At 39.4% G+C, this 19,607-nt stretch overlaps 1 protein-coding gene across 3 annotated transcripts in view, besides 1 other annotated feature; it reads right to left on the bottom strand.

Annotated features, from left to right (window-relative positions):
• Positions 828-1,367: an enhancer, noted in NCBI's record as "OCT4-NANOG-H3K27ac hESC enhancer chr14:73591861-73592400 (GRCh37/hg19 assembly coordinates)". NCBI's record gives its function as "activates a minimal SCP1, AML or CMV promoter by ChIP-STARR-seq in primed H9 embryonic stem cells {active_cell/tissue: H9 hESC(primed)}" and the evidence as "EXISTENCE:reporter gene assay evidence [ECO:0000049][PMID:30033119]".
• The window catches only part of RBM25 (RNA binding motif protein 25), a 65,366-nt gene continuing 48,379 nt past the window's right edge, over positions 2,621-19,607 (bottom strand). For 2 of the 3 annotated variants that reach the window (XM_011537044.4, NM_021239.3), the window contains 7 exons: positions 18,621-18,694; positions 17,028-17,178; positions 15,365-15,689; positions 14,718-14,992; positions 14,270-14,368; positions 12,187-12,234; positions 2,621-6,807 (listed from right to left, as the gene is read on the bottom strand). In XM_011537044.4, the coding sequence (XP_011535346.1) occupies positions 6,715-6,807; positions 12,187-12,234; positions 14,270-14,368; positions 14,718-14,992; positions 15,365-15,689; positions 17,028-17,178; positions 18,621-18,694 (1,065 nt within the window). In that variant the 3' untranslated portion in view covers positions 2,621-6,714. Of the gene's footprint in view, positions 6,808-12,186; positions 12,235-14,269; positions 14,369-14,717; positions 15,212-15,364; positions 15,690-17,027; positions 17,179-18,620; positions 18,695-19,607 lie in introns of those variants that run through there. The other variant, XM_047431641.1, reaches the window with a different exon arrangement.

The following is a 19,607-nucleotide window of genomic DNA, read 5'->3' as shown; positions in this document are numbered from 1 at the left end:
TATATAATAAAAAATTTAAAAAAATTAGCTGGGTGTGGTGGCGTGCACCTGTAATCACAGCTACTCGGGAGGCTGAGGCAGAAGAATCACTTGAACCCGGGAGGCGGTGCTTGCAGTGAGCTGAGATCACACCATTGCACTCCAGCCTGGGCGACAAGAGCAAAACTCCATCTCAAAAAAAAAAAAAATTATTTACCAGATAAGGGAGAAATCAAATCACTTCTGGTCGTTCAGTATTTTTCAATACCTACTATAGCAATGAAGGTTCAAAACAGTAAAAGCTGCAGTGTATGAAAAGTAAACGACCAAATAACACTAAAGGTCCTAGACTCTCTACAGTGATACATTTTCTTTTGCTTCAGAAACGTTTGTAACTTAGGAAGAGGAACAGATAAGTGAATGATAAAATAAATGGTGGCAAAACCCAATAGTAAGTGGTAAAAGATGAAGCTGAAGGGCAGGGCATCAAAGAATTACTTGGGGGAGAGGGTTGTTAGACTAGAAAAGCTGCATCAGTCACTACTAAAGTCAGGGCCTAGGCAATGGGAAAACAAAAACCAGCTCTTCACACTAATGATTCCAAAGGAATCTACCTCATTAACATTTTCACATAACAACAGTTTGCCTTAATTTATGCACAGTGTCGCTGCCATGCTTCTTATATAGGAGGAAAGAAGAATTGTTATGAGATTAAATATTGCCGTCAAGGCTTGGTGCATGGCCACATTTTATCTTAGTAGCTCTCACGTCATTTGAATTCTTTGCAAGCATGGGTTTCCTTAGATTGCTTAAAATCACGGGCTGTCATATCTTCCTCATCTTGTTCTAGCCTTAAGTTCTGAATATGTGTTGGGATTCAATCAGGCTGGTGGGAAAAACATTAAAGATTGTTACAGAGACAGATACAATTCTTGGAAGGCCGAGAAGTTTGCATAGCTTCGGTGATAGATATGGTTGAAGGCAACCTGATCTTTACTTTTAAACAAATTAAAGTAGTAATAAAGGAAGGCAGAGTAGTTTACCTAGTTTGTTTAGTCATATGATCTTAAGACTAATCTTGGATGTACCACGGGGGGTTAAGTGCTTTTTACTTGGGAAGTCCACAATATCAATTACCCTCTAATGGTGTTGACTCAAGCCATCCTTAATCTTTTTGAATAAATGCAAGTCTCACTAGCTGACTGAGGCCTAGTTGCAACTGTTTTCAGAACTCTCCAGGGAGTCTGTAAGCAGTGGGACACCCTCAGCTGGACTGGCAAAACAGACTATCTGTGTGTCAGTGTACTTTATTCATCTGTCGCAGGGTCAGGGTCTGTGGGCAGACCCCTGCAGCTGGTGCCCTGAGGCGCGCTGCCGCAAATGTTTGTCACTATTTTGTTAATTCTAAGTTCCTTCTTTAACCAAGAACCTGGACCCTCTCATTTAGAAAGTTGCCTCGACAGTATACTGAACAAAGTAAAACTTTGTTTTGGTACTTTTCTATCTACAGTAACAGACCAGTCTCTTCACCTGGGTACATTTACAAAACTGTAAATTGACAGGAAAAGATTAACTTTCATGTTTTTGGATTCTACAATGTGAAATGCTCACTAGTTTTTCCTTTATCAAAAAAGCTTATGCCTGTAATCTCAGCAGTTTAGGAGGCTGAGGCTGAAGGATCACTTGAGACCAGCCTAGACAACACACTTCATCTCCACACAAACACAAAAAATAGGAGGCATGGTGGGGTGCACCTGTAGTCCTAGCTACTCAGGTGGCTGGGACAAGAGGATCACTGAGCCCAGGAATTCGAGGCTGCAGTGAGAGCCACGATTGTGCCCCTGCAGCTTTACAGGGAATCCTTGTCTCTAAACAAATAAAAAATGTCGGCCAGGTGCAGTGGCTGACACTTGTAATCCCAGCACTTTGAGAGGTCAAGGCATCGTTTGAGCTCAGGTGTTCAAAGCCCACCAGGGAAACATGGTGAAACCCTTCCTCTACAAAAATTAGCTGGGTGTGTTGGTGTGCACCTGTGGTCCCAAGTACTTGGGAGGCTGAGGTGGGAGGATCACTTGAGCCCAGGAGGCAGAAGTTGCAGTGAGCCAAGATCTTGCCACTGCACTCCAGCGTGGGTGACAGAGGCAGACCCTATCTCAAACAAACAAACAGAAAGATTTCACGTGAATGCATGTAAAACTACTTGTCATTAGTGGTTATTTAATAGTGCAATGCTAGACCATGAATTAGAACCCCATATATACTCCTCTAGATAAACCACCTGCAGGGACTACTGACATAATTACAATGGGCAAAACAGACTAGGTGACCTCTAAAGCCCCTTCCACATATTACTACTTCTACTGAGAATCTTCCTATTTCCCATTTCCTCTCAGCTTATCACATTTGATAATTCACATAGTATTTTGTATTTATGTCTAATGATGTTCCTGAACTCGTGTAATTTTTTTTGCCACCATTAGATGATCAGCTAACAGAAATACATGTATTTTTTTGAGATGGAGTTTTGCTCTTGTTGCTCACGCTGGAGTGCAGTGGCGCAATCTCGGCTCTCTGCAACCTCCACCTCCTGGGTTCAAGATGCTGTCTCAAAAAAAAAAAAAAAAGTAGACAGACTCAGGAGTGTCATTTAATTCAAACAACATGGCTTGAAAAGAATTTTTATTTTTGTTTCTAGAAATTATCTTCTTTACCTGGGTATTTTAGACTGCCATTCTTTAATTTCGCCTTCATGACTCAAGTAATGAAATGCAAAGATTCTGTCAATTAAAAATGTAAGCATTCAAATGCAAATAAATTAACATAAATATTTCAGTATTTTACCATAATCACATTACAAAAAATCTATCAGTTTATCAAAAAGTGTAAGTTCACTTCGCTCTATAGTATGATTGTTATATTAGTAGCTCCTGGGTTTGGTATGTATCTCCCTGTTTTCTTCTTGACAGCTAGACTGTTTCTTTGCCTGCTTGGGATTCCTTCTCATACCCTTTTATCTCCAGTGACATTCACAAATCAATCCCTCATCATCTTTTGTTGAGCAAAACTATTTCTCAATTTCATACTTAACAGAAGACTGAAATACAACCCAGAGAAGTTTGTAATCAATTTGACATAAAACCTCTCAGCAGTCTTTTGGGTATAAATTGGGGATATCATAAAACCTGTTAAAAAGAGTTGGGAAAATAAGCCTCATCTAAACATTGTATACCTGCTTACACTTATTTGCATTAAATTTATTCCATTAAAAAGGAGAAAAAAAGATAGTGTCTAGTTCAAATTGGCTCTCAAGCTAAATGTTTTCTCAGTTTTTCTACTATATCTAGTATTCATGGCAGATTAATACCTGAAACAGCACGCTTCACAAAATAATCATTAGCTTACACTTACATAGTTTACAGGGAAATGCCATAATAAGATTCAGAATAAGTTACAACATAAAGTTATCTACAGAAAAAATTTTCAGGGCTGGATGGAAAAAAAGCCTAGAATATTAGGGCTTTCTCAGACATAATTTTGCAAGATTACATTACGTTCATGAGTTACGTGTATTTGCCTCAAAAAATGTTTTTCTCTTTAAAATCTACTTAAAGGAAAATTCAGCTGCATTTATGTAGTCTGTTAGGATAAAATAATACTGAATAGACACCTTAAAGTGCTAATCAAAATGTAGTCTTGGATCAGTTGGCAATGACATTAGCTGGGAGCTGTCCAGAAATGCAAAGCCTGCGGCGCCACCCCAGCGCTGCTACTTCAGTGTCTCTATTTCTACAAGCACTCCTCAGATGATTTGGGGTCACATTAAAGTTTAAGAAAAACAACTTCAAACTTACCTTTCTTCCTTGTGAACAGATGTACATACTTTATTTTTAGGGACAAATAAAGAAAAGTAGTATTCTACTACTTTTTTGCCAGATCAAGACTGGTTCTTAAGATGTTCACGCTTTGGCCAGGCAAGGTGGCTCACGCCTGTAATACCAGCACTTTGGGAGGCTGAGGCGGGTGGATCACCTGAGGTCAGGAGTTTGAGACCAGCCTGGCCAACAAGGTGAAATCCTGTCTCTACTAAAAATACAAAAAATTAGCCAGGTGTCGTGGTGGGCACCTGTAATCCCAGCTACTCAGAAAACTGAAGCAGAATATCTCCAGAACCCGGGAGGCGGAAGTTGAAGTGAGCTGAGCTCGCGCCATTGCACTCCATCCTGGGCGACAAAAGCACAACTTCCTCTCAAAAAAAAAAAAACCCCAAAAAAACAACAAAAAAAGACTTTCATGCTCTTTATATAACAACTTGAAATGGCAAAATGAATTCATACTGTATAAGGTTTTCAAACTAAAATTAATTTATGAGATTATGGTAAAATTAACCCACAAAGTTCAAGCAACTTAATAGAAATTTCTTATGTGTATTTTCAGACACTAGAATATGCCTGTTTAATGTCTAATTCTTTATATATACAATTCTAAAAATCAACCAACTCTGACAATCTAAAGCCTTTTACTGAAGCTTGGTTACAAAACATGATTTAAACTGGCATTAAGCGATTAACAGTTTCTACCACATTTACTGTAACAATTTTCACTCTGCTGCAGAAACTTTAATATATGAACTTGCACAAATTCATATATTTAGTTGAGGTCCTGTCACAAACCTCACTGGAGATGTTATGCAGTACAGAGTACATCTCCCCAAAGGTTTCAGATTACGACATCTCCCTTGTTTTTAGAGTGGCCCTTTAAGATAAGTACAGTTGACAGAGCAGGAGAAGAAACGAAGCAAAGGAAATCAAATCTACCTGAATAAACCTTCATGTTAATAGTGGCTAAATAAAAACAACACAATATGATGCTTAAGAACAGTGCAGTATGTTAAGAAAAGACAGACACAATAAACTCCTCGAACAAGGTCTTAGGCTGGGGGTGTGTCTAAGAAAAGACTGAAAAATTAACGAAAATGGCAAGGGGCATCTTTTCTGAAATTTTCCGTTGAGAAACCAGAATTTAAAATAAAAGAGACATTTCCATAGATGTATAGTAGATTCATCCAAAATAATGTAAATGGCTTCCTTGACCTTTAGATACCAATAGTCATAAAAATCAAGTCCATAAAAAGTTCAGCCCATATTTTTAACTTTTCTAGTATGCACCACACAATTACAACATGATGCCATTTATTTACATGATTCTGAAAGAATATGAGTCCCCAGGATCAAATATATACATTTTTAATATTTGAAATATTTACATAATGGAACCACATCAGGGTTCGAGGGTAAGAACAGTGTTTTCAAATGTCCTCTCCAGGTGTGTTTAAAAAAAAAAAAAATCCAGTAATCCAAAGCTCACATTATGCTTTTTCTAACAGGCCAATCTTTACCTTTCTTTTAAATAAGTACTCAGACATGGGAACAGTTGCATCTAATTTGTGTGAAAAGCTGTTTAAAACTTCTTACGTTTTCAGGTAATTTTACTCCCTGGTGAAATTCTGATCTACAACGAAGAAAGCCCCAGGAATTTCTCTAAGCACATCATCAGTACATTTTTAAACACTAATGAGCCAAGGTAAAACAAGATATAAACCTTCTACAAGACAAAAATGAAAACAAATAGTTAGTGGTTGGTAACTGCCTTGAATGATTTACCTTTATCCTTAAATAACATGTAAACTTACAAATTGCCGAGCAGAATACCTATCATGTTTGTAAAACTCTCACTGTCTGTCAATTTGCCTAATTTTATTTCATTTTTTTGTTTTGTTTTAAAGGGGGTTTTCACTTACACTTTTTGGTATGATGAATTTTTTGTTAAATAAACAGATACAATAGAATTAAACTAAGGACCAATTAGTGCAAAAATGCATTAAATACAGCTCTCCAGGATTTTTAGGATATGCCTCATTTCTGAGCAATAAAATTAAAAGGAAAAATCACTATGATCCACATTCCTTTAAAAGAGAAGCTGAAGCAGCCATCTTATTAATAAGAAAACCCCATCCAGTTAGCAAACCACATTGCTCACGACACGAGAACACCATGCTCTGGGAAACTAATAACCTAATTATAACAGACATTTCAGGTTGGAACAGTACCACTTTTCCTTTACAATTCTATTCTTTAGTTGGGAAATGTTTTAAGGACCCCACCAAAGCAAATTAGGGAAAAGAAAGACTTTTACACATACATTCACAAACACATTCATACAGAAATACAGTAGGAATGGATTGTCTGCTAATTTTTGCATTCCAATTTTAAACTCCATGCCTTCACAAGGGCTTGCCATTTCTGATCAAAAGAGAGTGGGGGTGGTAATAGTTTATGACTGGTGTTTTCAATTAAAATTGTTCATGTTGGTTCCTATACAGTACATTTCAATATTAAGTGCAATTCTGCAAAATAATTGGGGAGTCGTTTTAATATTTACAAGAAACAAATCAGCAGAACAAGATTATATCAGATAGGCTGTGTACAGTAGCTGCGGCTTATAAAACATACCAGTAATTTGTACCTGGTGAGTATAAAGAGAACCAAGGATTCAGATGACTTTACAACCAAGGGAGTACACAGGGCAACAACAAATTAGAGGACCAAAAAATTCACATTTTCTACAAAAAAAAAAAATTACAGATCTCACAATGTCTTCAAAGACAAAGAAAAATTCAAAGTCCTTAAAAGGGTGGCAAAGAAGAAATCTGAAATGGAACTCTAAATATAAAAAGTTTTACTTCACAAGACCAATTTTCTTGGCTTCTGTTTCATATATCAATAATCTCCACATTTTGACTATAAAAACTTCTGCTTCTTCATCAAGTACCTAAAGAGGAAACAAAACAGCAACACATGTAAGAGAAGCAATCATCAACATCTGCCAAAAACAGTGGCCAGTATAAAAAAGTTTTTCATCCACTGACAATAAGCACTTATTACTTAAATGCTAGTTAAGATTTTAAGGTTGTTTTAGTGGCCGGGTGTGGTGGCTCACGCCTGTAATCCCAGCATTTTGGGAGGCCGAAGCGAGCGGATCACAAGGTCAGGAGATCAAGACCATCCTGACTAACATGGTGAAACCCCATCTCTACTAAAAATACAAAAAACTAGCTGGGCATGGCAGCGTGCGCCTGTATTCCCAGCTGCTGGGGAGGCTGAGGCAGGAGAATGACGTGAACCCAGGAGGCGGAGCTTGCCAAGATCGCGCCACTGCACTCCAGCCTGAGCAACAGAGCAAGACTCCATCTCAAAAAAGAAAAACAAAAAAAACAAAAAAGTTTTAAGGTTGTTTTGAGGGGATACATGAGATTCTGTATTGTTATTACATAGTTGTATATTTAGTTCTTCTTAAATTACTACGTTCTTTATAATACGTATTTGTTTTCCTTAGGAAGTAGTTTTGCTTTCAGTAAAATGACTTAAAGAAAATTTGTCCAGTGTGAGAAATGTATTATTAATAAATAGTAAATGGACCGGGCACAGTGGCTCACACCTATAATCCCAGCACTTTGGGAGGCTGAGGCAGGTGGATCACCAGAGGTCAAGAGTTCAAGACCAGCCTGGCCAACATGACGAAACCCCATCTCTACTAAAAATACAAAAATTAGCTGGGCATGGTGGCCGGCACCTGTAATCCCAGCTACTCGGGAGGCTGAGGTAGGAGAATCGCTTGAACCTGGGAGGCGGAGGTTGCAGTGAGCCAAGATCATGCCACTGCACTCCAGCCTGGTCAACAAGAGCAAAACTCCGTCTCTAAATAAATAAATAAATAGTAAATGTAAATTAACAACGACAACAAAAAAAAATCATTCAAAATTCCATGGCTTACTAAACACAAAGAGTACCATATTTTTGTGATCCACCTTTTATTCTTTTATTTTACCTTTACAGATACTGCAATTATACATGTCTGACAAAACTACTTCCCAAGGAAACCATACGCTTTTCATAAAGAACACAGTAATTTAAGAAGAACTAAATAATATACAATTACATAATAACAATACAGAATTTCATTTATCTCCAAAAACACAACCTCACAAACTTTTTTTTTTTTTTTCTGGAGACAGGATCTCTCTTGTCACCCAGCCTGGAGTACAGTGGCATGATCATGGTGCACTACAGCCTTGACCTCCCAGGCTCAAGTGATACTCCCACATCAGCCTCACCAGTAGCTAGGACTACAGGTGTGCACCACTACTCCTGGCTACATTTTTGTGCTTTTTAGTAGAGACAGGGTCTCACTATGTTGCCCAGGCTGGTCTCAAACTCCTGGGCTCAAGCAATCTGCGCACCTTGGCCTTCCAAAGTGCTGGGATTACAGGTTTGAGCTGCTGTGCACAGCCCAACCGTACCATCTTAACTAGCATTTATTGTGTATGTGACACTAAAGTGAACATTAAATGAGAATATAAGTATTTAGTACAGTGTCCAGAATACAGTAAACACAATAAGCAAATACAATCATCACGGGGCACACATGACTACTGAGTAACAAGTCTTCTTCCAGTGGTGGATGAGGAAATTGTCTTCCTCTCTACTTATGAGTTATAGGGTCCTTGTGTCCCCATCACTATTCCTGCCATCATCCCATACACACATCTGCCCCTCTACATTATGGCTGCTATGAGGTGAAATGGCCTACTCTGCTCCCTTCTGAAGGGGGCAGCTATGACTGTGCTCCAGAAATGTGGTCTAGTGTTGCCAGGTCTTCATAGAGGAAGTTTGGGGTAGGAATTTAGAGTACTCAATCTCTAGTCAGACTACATTGGTTCAAATTCTCTAGTCAGGCTACATAGGTTCAAATTGCACTGCTGCCTCTTACTAGCGATAGGTCCTTGGTTGGGTTACTTAACCTGAGCCTCAGTTCCCTCACCTCTAAAGTGGAGGCGATGTAGCTACACACCATAGCAGTAGGTACTAAGTGGGAATTAAAAGAGTTGGTATGTAGTTAAGTGCTCTGACAACTGACTGGTATATAACAAGTGCTTAATAAATACCTGGGAAGAGACTGGGCACAGTGGCTCACGCCTGTAATCCCAGCACTTTGGGAGGCCTAGGTAGGCAGATCACCTGAGGTCAGGAGTTTGAGACCAGCCGGGCCAACATGGTGAAACCCGTCAATACTAAAAATACAAAAATTAGCCAGGCGTGCGGGTGGGCACCTGTAATCCCAACTACTTGGGAGGCTGAAGCAGGAGAATTGCTTGAACCCAAGAAGTGGAGGTTACAGTGAGCCAAGATCGCGCCACTGTCACTCCATATAGCCTGGGAAACAGAGCAAGACTCTGTCTCAAAAAAAAAAAAAAAAAAAAAAAAAAAAAAAAAAGAAAAGAAGAAAGAAATTAAAAGAAAGAAATTTCTGTCACTTTCTCAATGATAGCAATAATTAATTAAAGAACTTTTGATCAGATTTCTATGAGCCAGATTTGACTTTAGTTGAAGAACTCTGTTGTAACACTAATTCACATCTGAGTCACACTTCAGAGAGATGTAGGCACAAAATGCAACCAAACTTCATTTAATTTACATAAAATGAAAAAGGTATAATATAAAGAAGTCAGACTTTTGTTAAGAGTGAAACAGTACTCAGGCTAAAAATTCAGTCTCCTCATTTATTCAAGAAATATTTACAAGGCCCCATGAGCTTTTTAGCAGAGCTGTTTGACAACACTAGCTCAACTGGTTTCCTCTCATTCTAATCAACGAGCCACAAAATCATAAACAGTGGTCTAAATACACTTCAAATATCAATATATTACAACAGATCAAAAAATCTAAAATTAACACTGACATGAAATCTTTACTATGTATGATAGGAACTCTGCTGAGGCCAAACGCTAGAACACAGTTTTATTTAAAAAATGTCTTCACTCAGGCCTAACTACGACACCCTCTACTCCAAGAAAAACGGGGCTGGAAGCTTCAGGAAAGTTCAGAATTCAGCCCCAAGGACTGAAATCTATTCACATTTCTCCTTTCCTCTGAGGCAATGAAGTTTTCACAAATGTTTTATCAGGTGTTCTAAATGACAGCTGCATCAAGCTAGCTAGGCAGCAGAAAAGGAATGTTATCTGGCTTTAGACACCATAAAATGCCTGGACACAAAGCAGCTAGACCTCACAATCCTTCTTTTTGACTATAAACCCCACGATGTCCCTCCCTGACATCTCTGGTGGCAGTTCCAAGTGCAAGTACTCCCAGTCATCTACCATTTCATATCATGCTTGATGATTTTTCCTTCCTTACTCATCTTCCCATTGCTGTCTTCCCGCTCTGCCCTTTGGACCGCTATTCCATTTTATACTACACATCAACAACTAAATTAGGTTTTTCCTCTTAACAGAAACCCTCCTCTATCTCCTAGAGCCCCGGCACTTCTCAGGCAGTCTCTCACTCTCAATGTCTTAATCTCCACAGGAATGACTTGTGGGTCTTCACTGTTTCTTTCTTGGTAAAAAAAAAAACAACTCCATGGACGTTCATGAGCTCTCACCACCTTATCCACTGTAAGAGCAGCTATCTGGCAAGTATCTAGTCTTTCCCCCCACTTAAATGAGTGCTCTGGCAACTATTTCCAGTATTTCTCTCCAATCTGACTCCCAATACCCAGGAATTTCCCATAGTCATACTATGCACCTTGCCATCGTCTGGGCTGACCTATCACATATAGACTTGAACTTTCTACACTCTGACCATAACCTCTCCTTTCAGTTGTTTTATTACAATTCGCCTTCCACAACTTCACTGGAACCACTAGTCCTTAATTCATTCAAACCACCAGCTCTATTCAGATACTATTTTCTTCTCTTCCTAACTTGGAGATCATAGTTCAATCTCTTGCTCAACCTTTACCATCAATTTTCTTCTCCTTTCCTTGTCTCACAAAATCACAGTGTTAACTACATGCTACCACTGACTGTAATCCCAAATTAAATGCAACGGGGATTTGATGTTTACTGTCAATACAACAGGTGTTTGGATACCTGTCCAAAAAGCAGCACATATGTACAATCTTGTGGCCATAAAAAACGAAATAGTGTCCTTTACAGGGACATGGATGGAGCTGGAGGCCACTATCCTTAGCAAACTAACACAGGAACAGAAAACCAAATACAGTATGTTTTCACTTATAAGCGGGAGCTAAATGATGAAAAAACATGAACGAAGAGAGGGGAACAACACACAATGGGGCCTATCGTAGGGCAGAGGGTGGGAGGAGGGAGAGGATCAGGAAAAATAACTAATGAGTACTAGGCTTAACACCTGGGTGATGAAATAATCTGTTCAACAAACCCCCATGACACAAGTTTACCTATGTAACAAACCTGCACATGTATCCGACTTAAAACACACACACACACACACACACACACACACACACACGTATCAGTTCCTGTAGTAATCCTTGTGATGCTTAACCTAACTGCTATCAATGCCATCAGATGTTCTATCTCCTCTACCTCCATTATCCTTTCTACATATCTAATTCAAACAAGTACATCAAGGTTCCAGTACCTGTATACCTATCTCTCTGCTACTACAGGTCATTTGTTCTACTTTTATGCTTCTAGCACATTGTGCTGGGCATAGGGAAAACATGAATGGAACTGGTGGAAAAGAATGAAGCCTTATTTATTTATTTAGAGATGGGGTCTCACTCTGTCACCAGGCTGGAGTGCAATGGCATGATCTCGGCTCACTGCAACCTCCACCTCACAGGTTCAAGTGATTCTCCTGCCTCAGACTCCCCGAGTAGCTGGGACTATAGGCACACGCCACCACGCACAGCTAATTTTTGTATTTTTCATAGAGACGGGGTTTCACCATGCTGGCCAGGATGGTCTCGATCTCTTGACCTTGTGATCCACCCGCCTCAGCCTCCCAAGTACTGGGATTACTCAAGTTTTAATTCAGGCCTAAAAAAGATTCTGGAACAAAGACAGGCAGGAAGTGAATCAAATTCAAAAGTGAGTTTATATAGATGTTAATTAAAATATTAATAATAGTGCATTTCTGGCCAGGTGTGGTGGCTGATGCCTGTAATCTCAACACTTTGGGAGGCTGAGGCAGGAGGATCACTTAAGCCTAGGAATTTAAGACTACCCTGGGCAACGTGGTGAGACCCCATCTATATTTTAAGACAAAAAAAACCAAAAACTTTTTTTAAATTAAAAGAAATAAAAATAGTGAATTTCTAACTTACCATGGCAACATCATCTAAAATGCTCTGGGGTGAACTATGAGCCATAACCTAAAAGAGAAAAATAATTGTCACATTAAAAATAAATAAAAAATTAACAATACAGTCAAGAAATTTTAAGGTATGAATCCTCAAATTCATACAGGAACTTCTTGCGGCTAAGGAACCATTCTATAAATGTTTTAATTTTCAGAATATCATTCTTCAACGAAAGAGGCACCAAAACCTGGAATATTAATCTCCATAGTGGTCTGTAGTCTAATTTTAAGTCAAATCTCACACAAGTTTTAATGCCACAATAATTACAAGTTAGAGAAGACAGAGTAAATTTACTGTTCATAATATCAAAAGAGCACTACTGGCAAAAAAATACCATAGCTATACCTTTATAGAAATATGGTGTTTCTACTATGTTAACTGTTTTATTAAAGTTAAGACTATGTTTTCAGGAGACAATGGGAAGATATACCTTAGTGGTTAAGAGCATGGGTTTCAGAGGCTAGACTCAGTATAAAACATAGCCAAGACACAATCTCTCCTTAAACTTCAATTTCTTCATGTATAAAATGGGTATAACATTCATGACAGACAGATTCTAAGTGTTAGGTTAAAAGAAGTTTTTCTTTTTTCTTTTTTTTTATTTTGAGACAGAGTCTCACTCTTGTCACACAGGCTTGGAGTGCAATGGCGCAATCACAGCTCACTTCAACCTCCGCCTCCCGGGTTCAAGTGATTCTCCTGCCTCAGCCTCCCGAGTAGCTGGGATTACAGGTGCCTGCCACCCAGCGCACCCAATTTTTGACTTTTTAGTAGAGGCGGGGTTTTACCATATTGGCCGGGCTGGTCTCAAACTCGTGACCACAAGTGTTCTGCCCCATTGGCCTCCCAAAGTGCGGGAATTACAAGGCGTGGGCCACTGTCTTGTTAACATTTTATAGAACTTTATCTTCGGCTGGTGTGATGGCTCACGCCTTGTAATCCCCGCACTTTGGGAGGCCAACTTGGGCAGATCACTTGAGGTCAGGAGTTCAAGACCAGCCTGGCCAACATGGTGAAACCCCATCTCCACTAAAAATACAAAAAATTAGCCTGGTGTAAACCAAACACCACATGTTCTCACTCATAAGTGGTAGCTGAACAATGAGAACACATGGACACAGGGAGGGGAACATCACACAGCTGGGCCTGTCGGCGGGTGGGGAGCTAGGGGAGGGAGAGCATTAGGAGAAATACCTAATGTAGATGACAGGTTGATGGGTGTAGCAAACCACCATGGCACATGTACTCCTATGTAACAAACCTGCACGTTATGCATATGTATCCTAGAATTTAAAGTATAATTTAAAACAAAAAAAGAAAAAAAAAATTAGCAGGGTGTGGTGGCATATGCCTATAGTTCCGGCTTCTCAGGATACTAAGGCAGGAAGATCAGTCTAGGCTGGGCGTTCAAAGCTGCAGTGAGCCATGATTGCGCCACTGCACTCCAGCCTGTAGGACAAAGCAAAACTCCGACTCAAAAGAAAAAACAAAAACAAAAAACAAAAAACAAAACAAAACAAAACAAACAAAACTAACACAATACCTGCCGAGAACACAGCCTGTCAGTCAATAAACACTGATCGTTACTACGATATGAAAGGAACTATTTTGATCCTATCCAAAGGATGGGTGACTGACAAAGGAGTTGGGAAAAGATATTGGCTACGTCCAAAAAATCTCAACATAATTATTCCAACCAAGACAAGAAGAAGATGGCACAGCATTCTCAGGGGCAGAAAGACAGCACACAATTGGCAGTAACCAGCAATTCCATCCTCCTCGACCACTGAAATAAAAACATGTGGTGTGAGGAGTCTGAAGTTGGATGGAAAGGTTCATTAAAGCAGACATAAATCTGCATCCACTGCAGTGAATAAAAAAAAACACACCAAAAATAAAAATAACTTTAAAAAAGCAGATATAAATCACTTAACTGAACCTAAACCATCATGGAACTTGACTCTGTAAAATTTCTGCTCTTTTAAGAAGTGTCTAATATTTTAATATATAAAATAAATGCTGGCATGGAAGAGAATAGAAGACTAACCTTAGAACAAACAAAATCAACTAATGTAGCTTCTTCTTCACCTATATATTCTATGATTTTCTTATTAATCCATGGTCTAATTCGACGTTCCATCAGTATCTGCAAAACAAACCACGGTTACTGAATTAAAGAATTGTAACTTGCTATAACAGTTATTAAAGCTTCATGATTTTTCCTGAGACTAAAATATAATGTTATTTCACAAGTTGAACTAAGACAGATATGTATCAAGATACAATCATCTGCTTTTAGTAAGTCTTCAAGTAGCACAAAAAAAATTTCCATTATTACTAATTTCTTGACCATGGCATTGAGTTGGTGTCAAGATGATCATCCCTACTTATTTGTCATTAATAGAATCAAATGAGGTTTTTTTTTCTTCAAATGAATTTGTATGGCATATTCCAACTGTTCCCAATAATATGATGAAATATAATTTCCTACTCACAGAATCCACAATAGACCAATCCAGGGGATAAGCGAAGAGCTCAGGTTTGGCTGTAGGGATTTTCTCAATGAGACTCTTAATGTGTTTACGCTTTTCTTCAGTGTTTACAGTGCCTTTGGTTGCATTTTTATCATCTTCACCATAATCCAAGGGAACCAGTTTCCTTTTTCGGGGTACGTCATCACTGTCTTCATCCTCAAATTTGTTAAAGACACTATCTACAGGTAGTTTCTTTCTCTTCACAGAATTAGGCTGACCAGGACTATTGGAAGCACCTACAGTAAAAACACTCTCTTAGCAAGATGACTTAATTTCCAAATGTTTCATTTTATAACCCACCATCCCTCAAAAGCAATGCAAAATATACTTCCACAAATCTTAGAGAAAGATCCCAACTGTAAAAAATAACTCACTACTCACAAGTGCTAGAAAATTAAACTTTTCACTTCTTCTCAGAACTCGAGGCAGCTGCAGATATAGGAGCACTAGTAAAACTATGAAAACAATCGTGAGCTAGAAAGGCATTTTTTAGTAATCTTCTATCTACCTAACCAAGCACAAATATAAATTTTTTTCTTTAAAGCACAATACAGGTATTTGCAGGGGTGAAGGGAAGAAAATAAAGAAGGAAGGAAATGCTAACGTACCCAGTTTAAGACTTAGTCCTATTTTTGGCCTATGCTCCTCAGGTTGCTGTTGATCTGGTGAGTTTTCATGAGGAATAATAATACCACAGGGAGACTCATCCCCAGGAGTGTTAGGTGTTGCATTGCCACTGGCAGAGGAAACAGATGGAGCAGAGCTGATGGGCCTCAGAGTAGGTTTCAGACAAGGCTTTTGCTCTGGCTCCTCTTCCTCTTCCATGGGTTCTTCTCGTTTTTCTTCTTTTTCTTGCTTTTCTTCTTCCTCCTCTTCTGATTCTGGCTCTTGCTTTATTTGTGGCTGCCTGCGCCTCTCAGCCTCTTGTTCCATCTAAAACCCAAACAATAATCTGATTAACTACAACTCTACACCATTCAACTTGATTTTTGTTTTACATTACCTCTTGTAAAATATCTTTATGAAAAGAGAAAAGGCCAGGTATGGTGGCTCATGCCTGTAATCCCAGCACTTTGGGAGGCCGCGGTGGGCAGATCATCTGAGGTCAGGAGTTTGAGACCAGCTTGGCCAACATGGTGAAACGCTGTCTTTACTGAAAATACAAAAATTAGCCAGGTGTGGTGGTGCACGCCTGTAATCCCAGCTACTCAGGAGGCTGAGGCAGGAGAATCGCTTGAACCTGGGAGGTGGAGGTTGCAGTGAGCCTTGCAGAATCGCACTACAGCCTGGGCAACAAAGCAAGACTCCATCTCAAAAAAAAAGAAAAAGAAAAAGAAAAAAAAAAGGACATGGGCAGTGGCTCAATCCTGGGTAACACAGGAAAACCCCATCTCTACAAAAAAGCATAAAGTATTCAGTCAGGCATTCTGCTCATGCCTGTAAGTGTCCCAGATACTCACGAGGTAGAGGCCTGAGGACCACTTGCCCAGGAGGCAGAGGGTGCAGTGAACAGAGATTCCGCTACTGCACTCCAGCCTGGGCAACAAAGCCAGACTCTGTCTCAGGGAAAAAAAAAAAAGGCCGGGCACGGTGGTTCACTCCTGTAATCCCAGGACTTTGGGATGCCAAGATGGGCGGATCACTTGAGGTCAGGAGTTTAATACTAGCCTGGCCAACATGGTAAAACCCCGTCGCCACTAAAAATACAAAAATTAGTCAGGAGTGGTGGCACGTGCCTGTAACCCCAGCTACTCAGGAGGCTGAGGCACGAGAATCCCTGGAGCCTGGGAAGTGGAGGCTGCAGTGAGCCAAGATGACACCACTGCACTCCAGCCTGGGCGACACAGCGAGACCCCATCTCAAAAAAATAAATAAATAAAAATAAAAATACAAAAATTAGCCAGGCGAGGTGGCACACACCTGTAATCCGTACTACTACTCGGGTACCTGAGGCAGGAGAATCGCTTGAACCCAGGAGTCAGGGGCTCTGTCGCCCAGGCTGGAGTGCAGTGGCGCGATCTCGGCTCACTGCAAGCTCCGCCTCCCGGGTTCACGCCATTCTCCTGCCTCGGCCTCCCGAGTAGCTGGGACTACAGGCGCCCACCACTACACCCGGCTAATCTTTTGTATTTTTAATAGAGACGGGGTTTCACCGTGTTAGCCAGGATGATCTCGATCTCCCGACCTCGTGATCCGCCCGCCTCGGCCTCCCAAAGAGCTGGGATTACAGGCGTGAGCCACCGCGCCCGACCAGATGGTACAGTATCTTACCCTCTGGAGCTCTGCATCTGGATCTGGATGCCCTTCTGCCAGAAGGCGCTGCCTGATTTCCTCAAGCTCCTCCTTCTCTCTCTTCCTATCTCGTTCATCTGCTTCCATTTCCTTTTCTCTATCACGCAACCTTTTCTGAAGAGCACTTCCTCTGTAAAAGTGAATGATAAAAGGCTTCATTTAATACTCCGATCATTGAGAAGTAAACATGACATCTCCAACAGCACCTCTTTTCAACATTACAACCTGCATGCTAAGAGGTTAAAGAATGTCTTAATGTTCTGTATCTACGGAACACACCAGAGTGTGCTCTCTACATGTAAATGTATAACAAGCATTATCTTGTCATTTATCACTATGTTCCCTTCATTCTTAAAGTCATTCTAATAAGTGTCTAAACAAGTAAAATAGTCACTTTCAGAAAGAGAGCTCACACTTTGTGCCTATTTCACAAGGAATACCCAACAAATAATTTTCGTTTTCCTAGATACCAACCTAAAAAAATATATCAAGTAGCATTAGTAGCACTGAGAGTTCTGTATCCTCAATTTATTCACTTGTAAAAATTATCTCAGAAAGTAGTGTAGAATCAACAGAAAGCAGAGGTTCTCTCCTATCTAGCAGTTCATTACTTCTCAGAATGTTGACGTTATACATTGCCACTTTATGCTTCTAGCCTTCAATATTTTACTGATTTCATGGCACTTTCTACAAAGCCAAATCCCTGGCACCCTTGAGATTTAAGCTACTAATTCCAATGTTTTAATTATTTTGGCTATACTGTATTAAATTTAACTATATTAAATATCTTCACTATGATTGTATCATGTCAGACAAATTAGAGATAAAATAGTATCAAGACACTGTCTACATCCCCAGGGAACTTACAGTTTGGATGGAAGGAAGAACAAAACAAGCAATTTTGGCATAATGTCACAAATACTAGAATGAGAGTAGTTTGAAAATGCCATGGGAACAAAGAATGAGAGAAGGCAGTTGTCACAACTGTTACTTCACAATAATGTATCAATTTGGAGATGGGGTGAGAGACGGGAGGTCAAATTGCTAGAAGACCAAAATTTCTAGAAAAACCCAGATAGTTACAGAGATTCGTTGTAACTTGCTATAAAAATTGGACCTAGCACACAGGTGTGGTAGCCCACACCTATAGTCCAACCTACTCAAGAGACTGCAGAGGGAGGACTGCTTGAGCCCAAGAGTTCAAGGTTACAGTGAACTATGATCATGCCCCTGCATTCCAGCCGAGGTAAGACCCTGTCTCTAAAAGAATCAAGAAAAAATTTTAAAAATCAGACCTATTTACAACACACAAAGAAAAAAATAGTATTGTTTGATATAATACTATCATGGGCTCCCCCACTGCACAAAAGATGCATAGAAATGTTTATCCTTTTCTGATAGCTCTTTTCTCCCAACGAAAACAGTGTATTAGCTATAGAATTAATAATTACTCAGAATGTGAAAGTTTGTTTTTCTTATTCCACTTAGTGAACATGCATTATCAACTGTGCAGATGGAAAAACACAGCTAATAAAAAACCAAGTATGAATCCACAGAACAAGCCTTCTTTACCTGTAATATTTGGGGTCATCTCTATCATCATCATAGTCTTCTAAGAATTCTTTTAGTCGTTTAGCTTCTTTGGCCTTTGAGGAAATAAGGACAATGTATAAAATTAACATACAAGTAATAAAGATTACTCTTCCCTTTTTTGTGTAAACAGATTTTTCTGACCCAGACATAAACCAAGAGTAAGAGGGAGACTTATAGGAATTTCTCTTCACATAATTTTAAGACAAACATGGCCGTTTCAATAAATGAAACTAAAGTTTCTCCTGGATCCCAGAATTCAAACCATATTTATAAATGTATATGTATTCAGCTATTTGGTTTAAATAAACTTGTTGGGCTAGCCTGGGAAACGGTGTTTTTATTATTTTCTATAGAGAAAATATTTTCTAATTTAAGTTGGAGCTATCTGTGCAGCTATCTCTCTACAGTTGTACATAAAATGTTTTTACTGTAAAATGAGATATGTATAAAATACCACTCTATGCCATAATAAATATAATAATACTTTGGTTAAAAAAAAGATTTTTCTTGTCCTCTTAAATTTTAGTTTTCATATACTCCATATATTAAGTATAGGTCACATTAGACATTTTAAATTTTTTACCTCTAAGAAAAGTCTGAATGAGGACGCATCTGTAAAATGCAAACTATATATATACGCTACGCTACAATAAATATGCTCTTTGAATATAATCTTCAAAATACAATACCTAAGCACACCAACAAAACTGGAGATTATCTTATTAAACGAAAAAATATGGCTGGGCGTGGTGGCACACGCCTGTAATCCCAGCACTTTGGGAGGCCAAGGCAGGCAGATCATTTGAGGACAGGAGTTTGAGACCATCCTGGCCAACATGGTGAAACTCCGTCTCTACTAAAAATACAAAATATTAGCTGGGTGTTGTGGCACACGCCTGTAATCCCAGCTACTCGGGAGGCTGAGGCAGGAGAATCGCTTATCGCTTGAACCTGGGAGGAGAAGGT

The sequence above is a fragment of the Homo sapiens genome, chromosome 14, assembly GCF_000001405.40.
Source record: "Homo sapiens chromosome 14, GRCh38.p14 Primary Assembly".
NCBI classification, from domain to species: Eukaryota; Metazoa; Chordata; class Mammalia; order Primates; family Hominidae; genus Homo; species Homo sapiens.
This window is presented reverse-complemented; position numbering and strand designations above follow the sequence as displayed.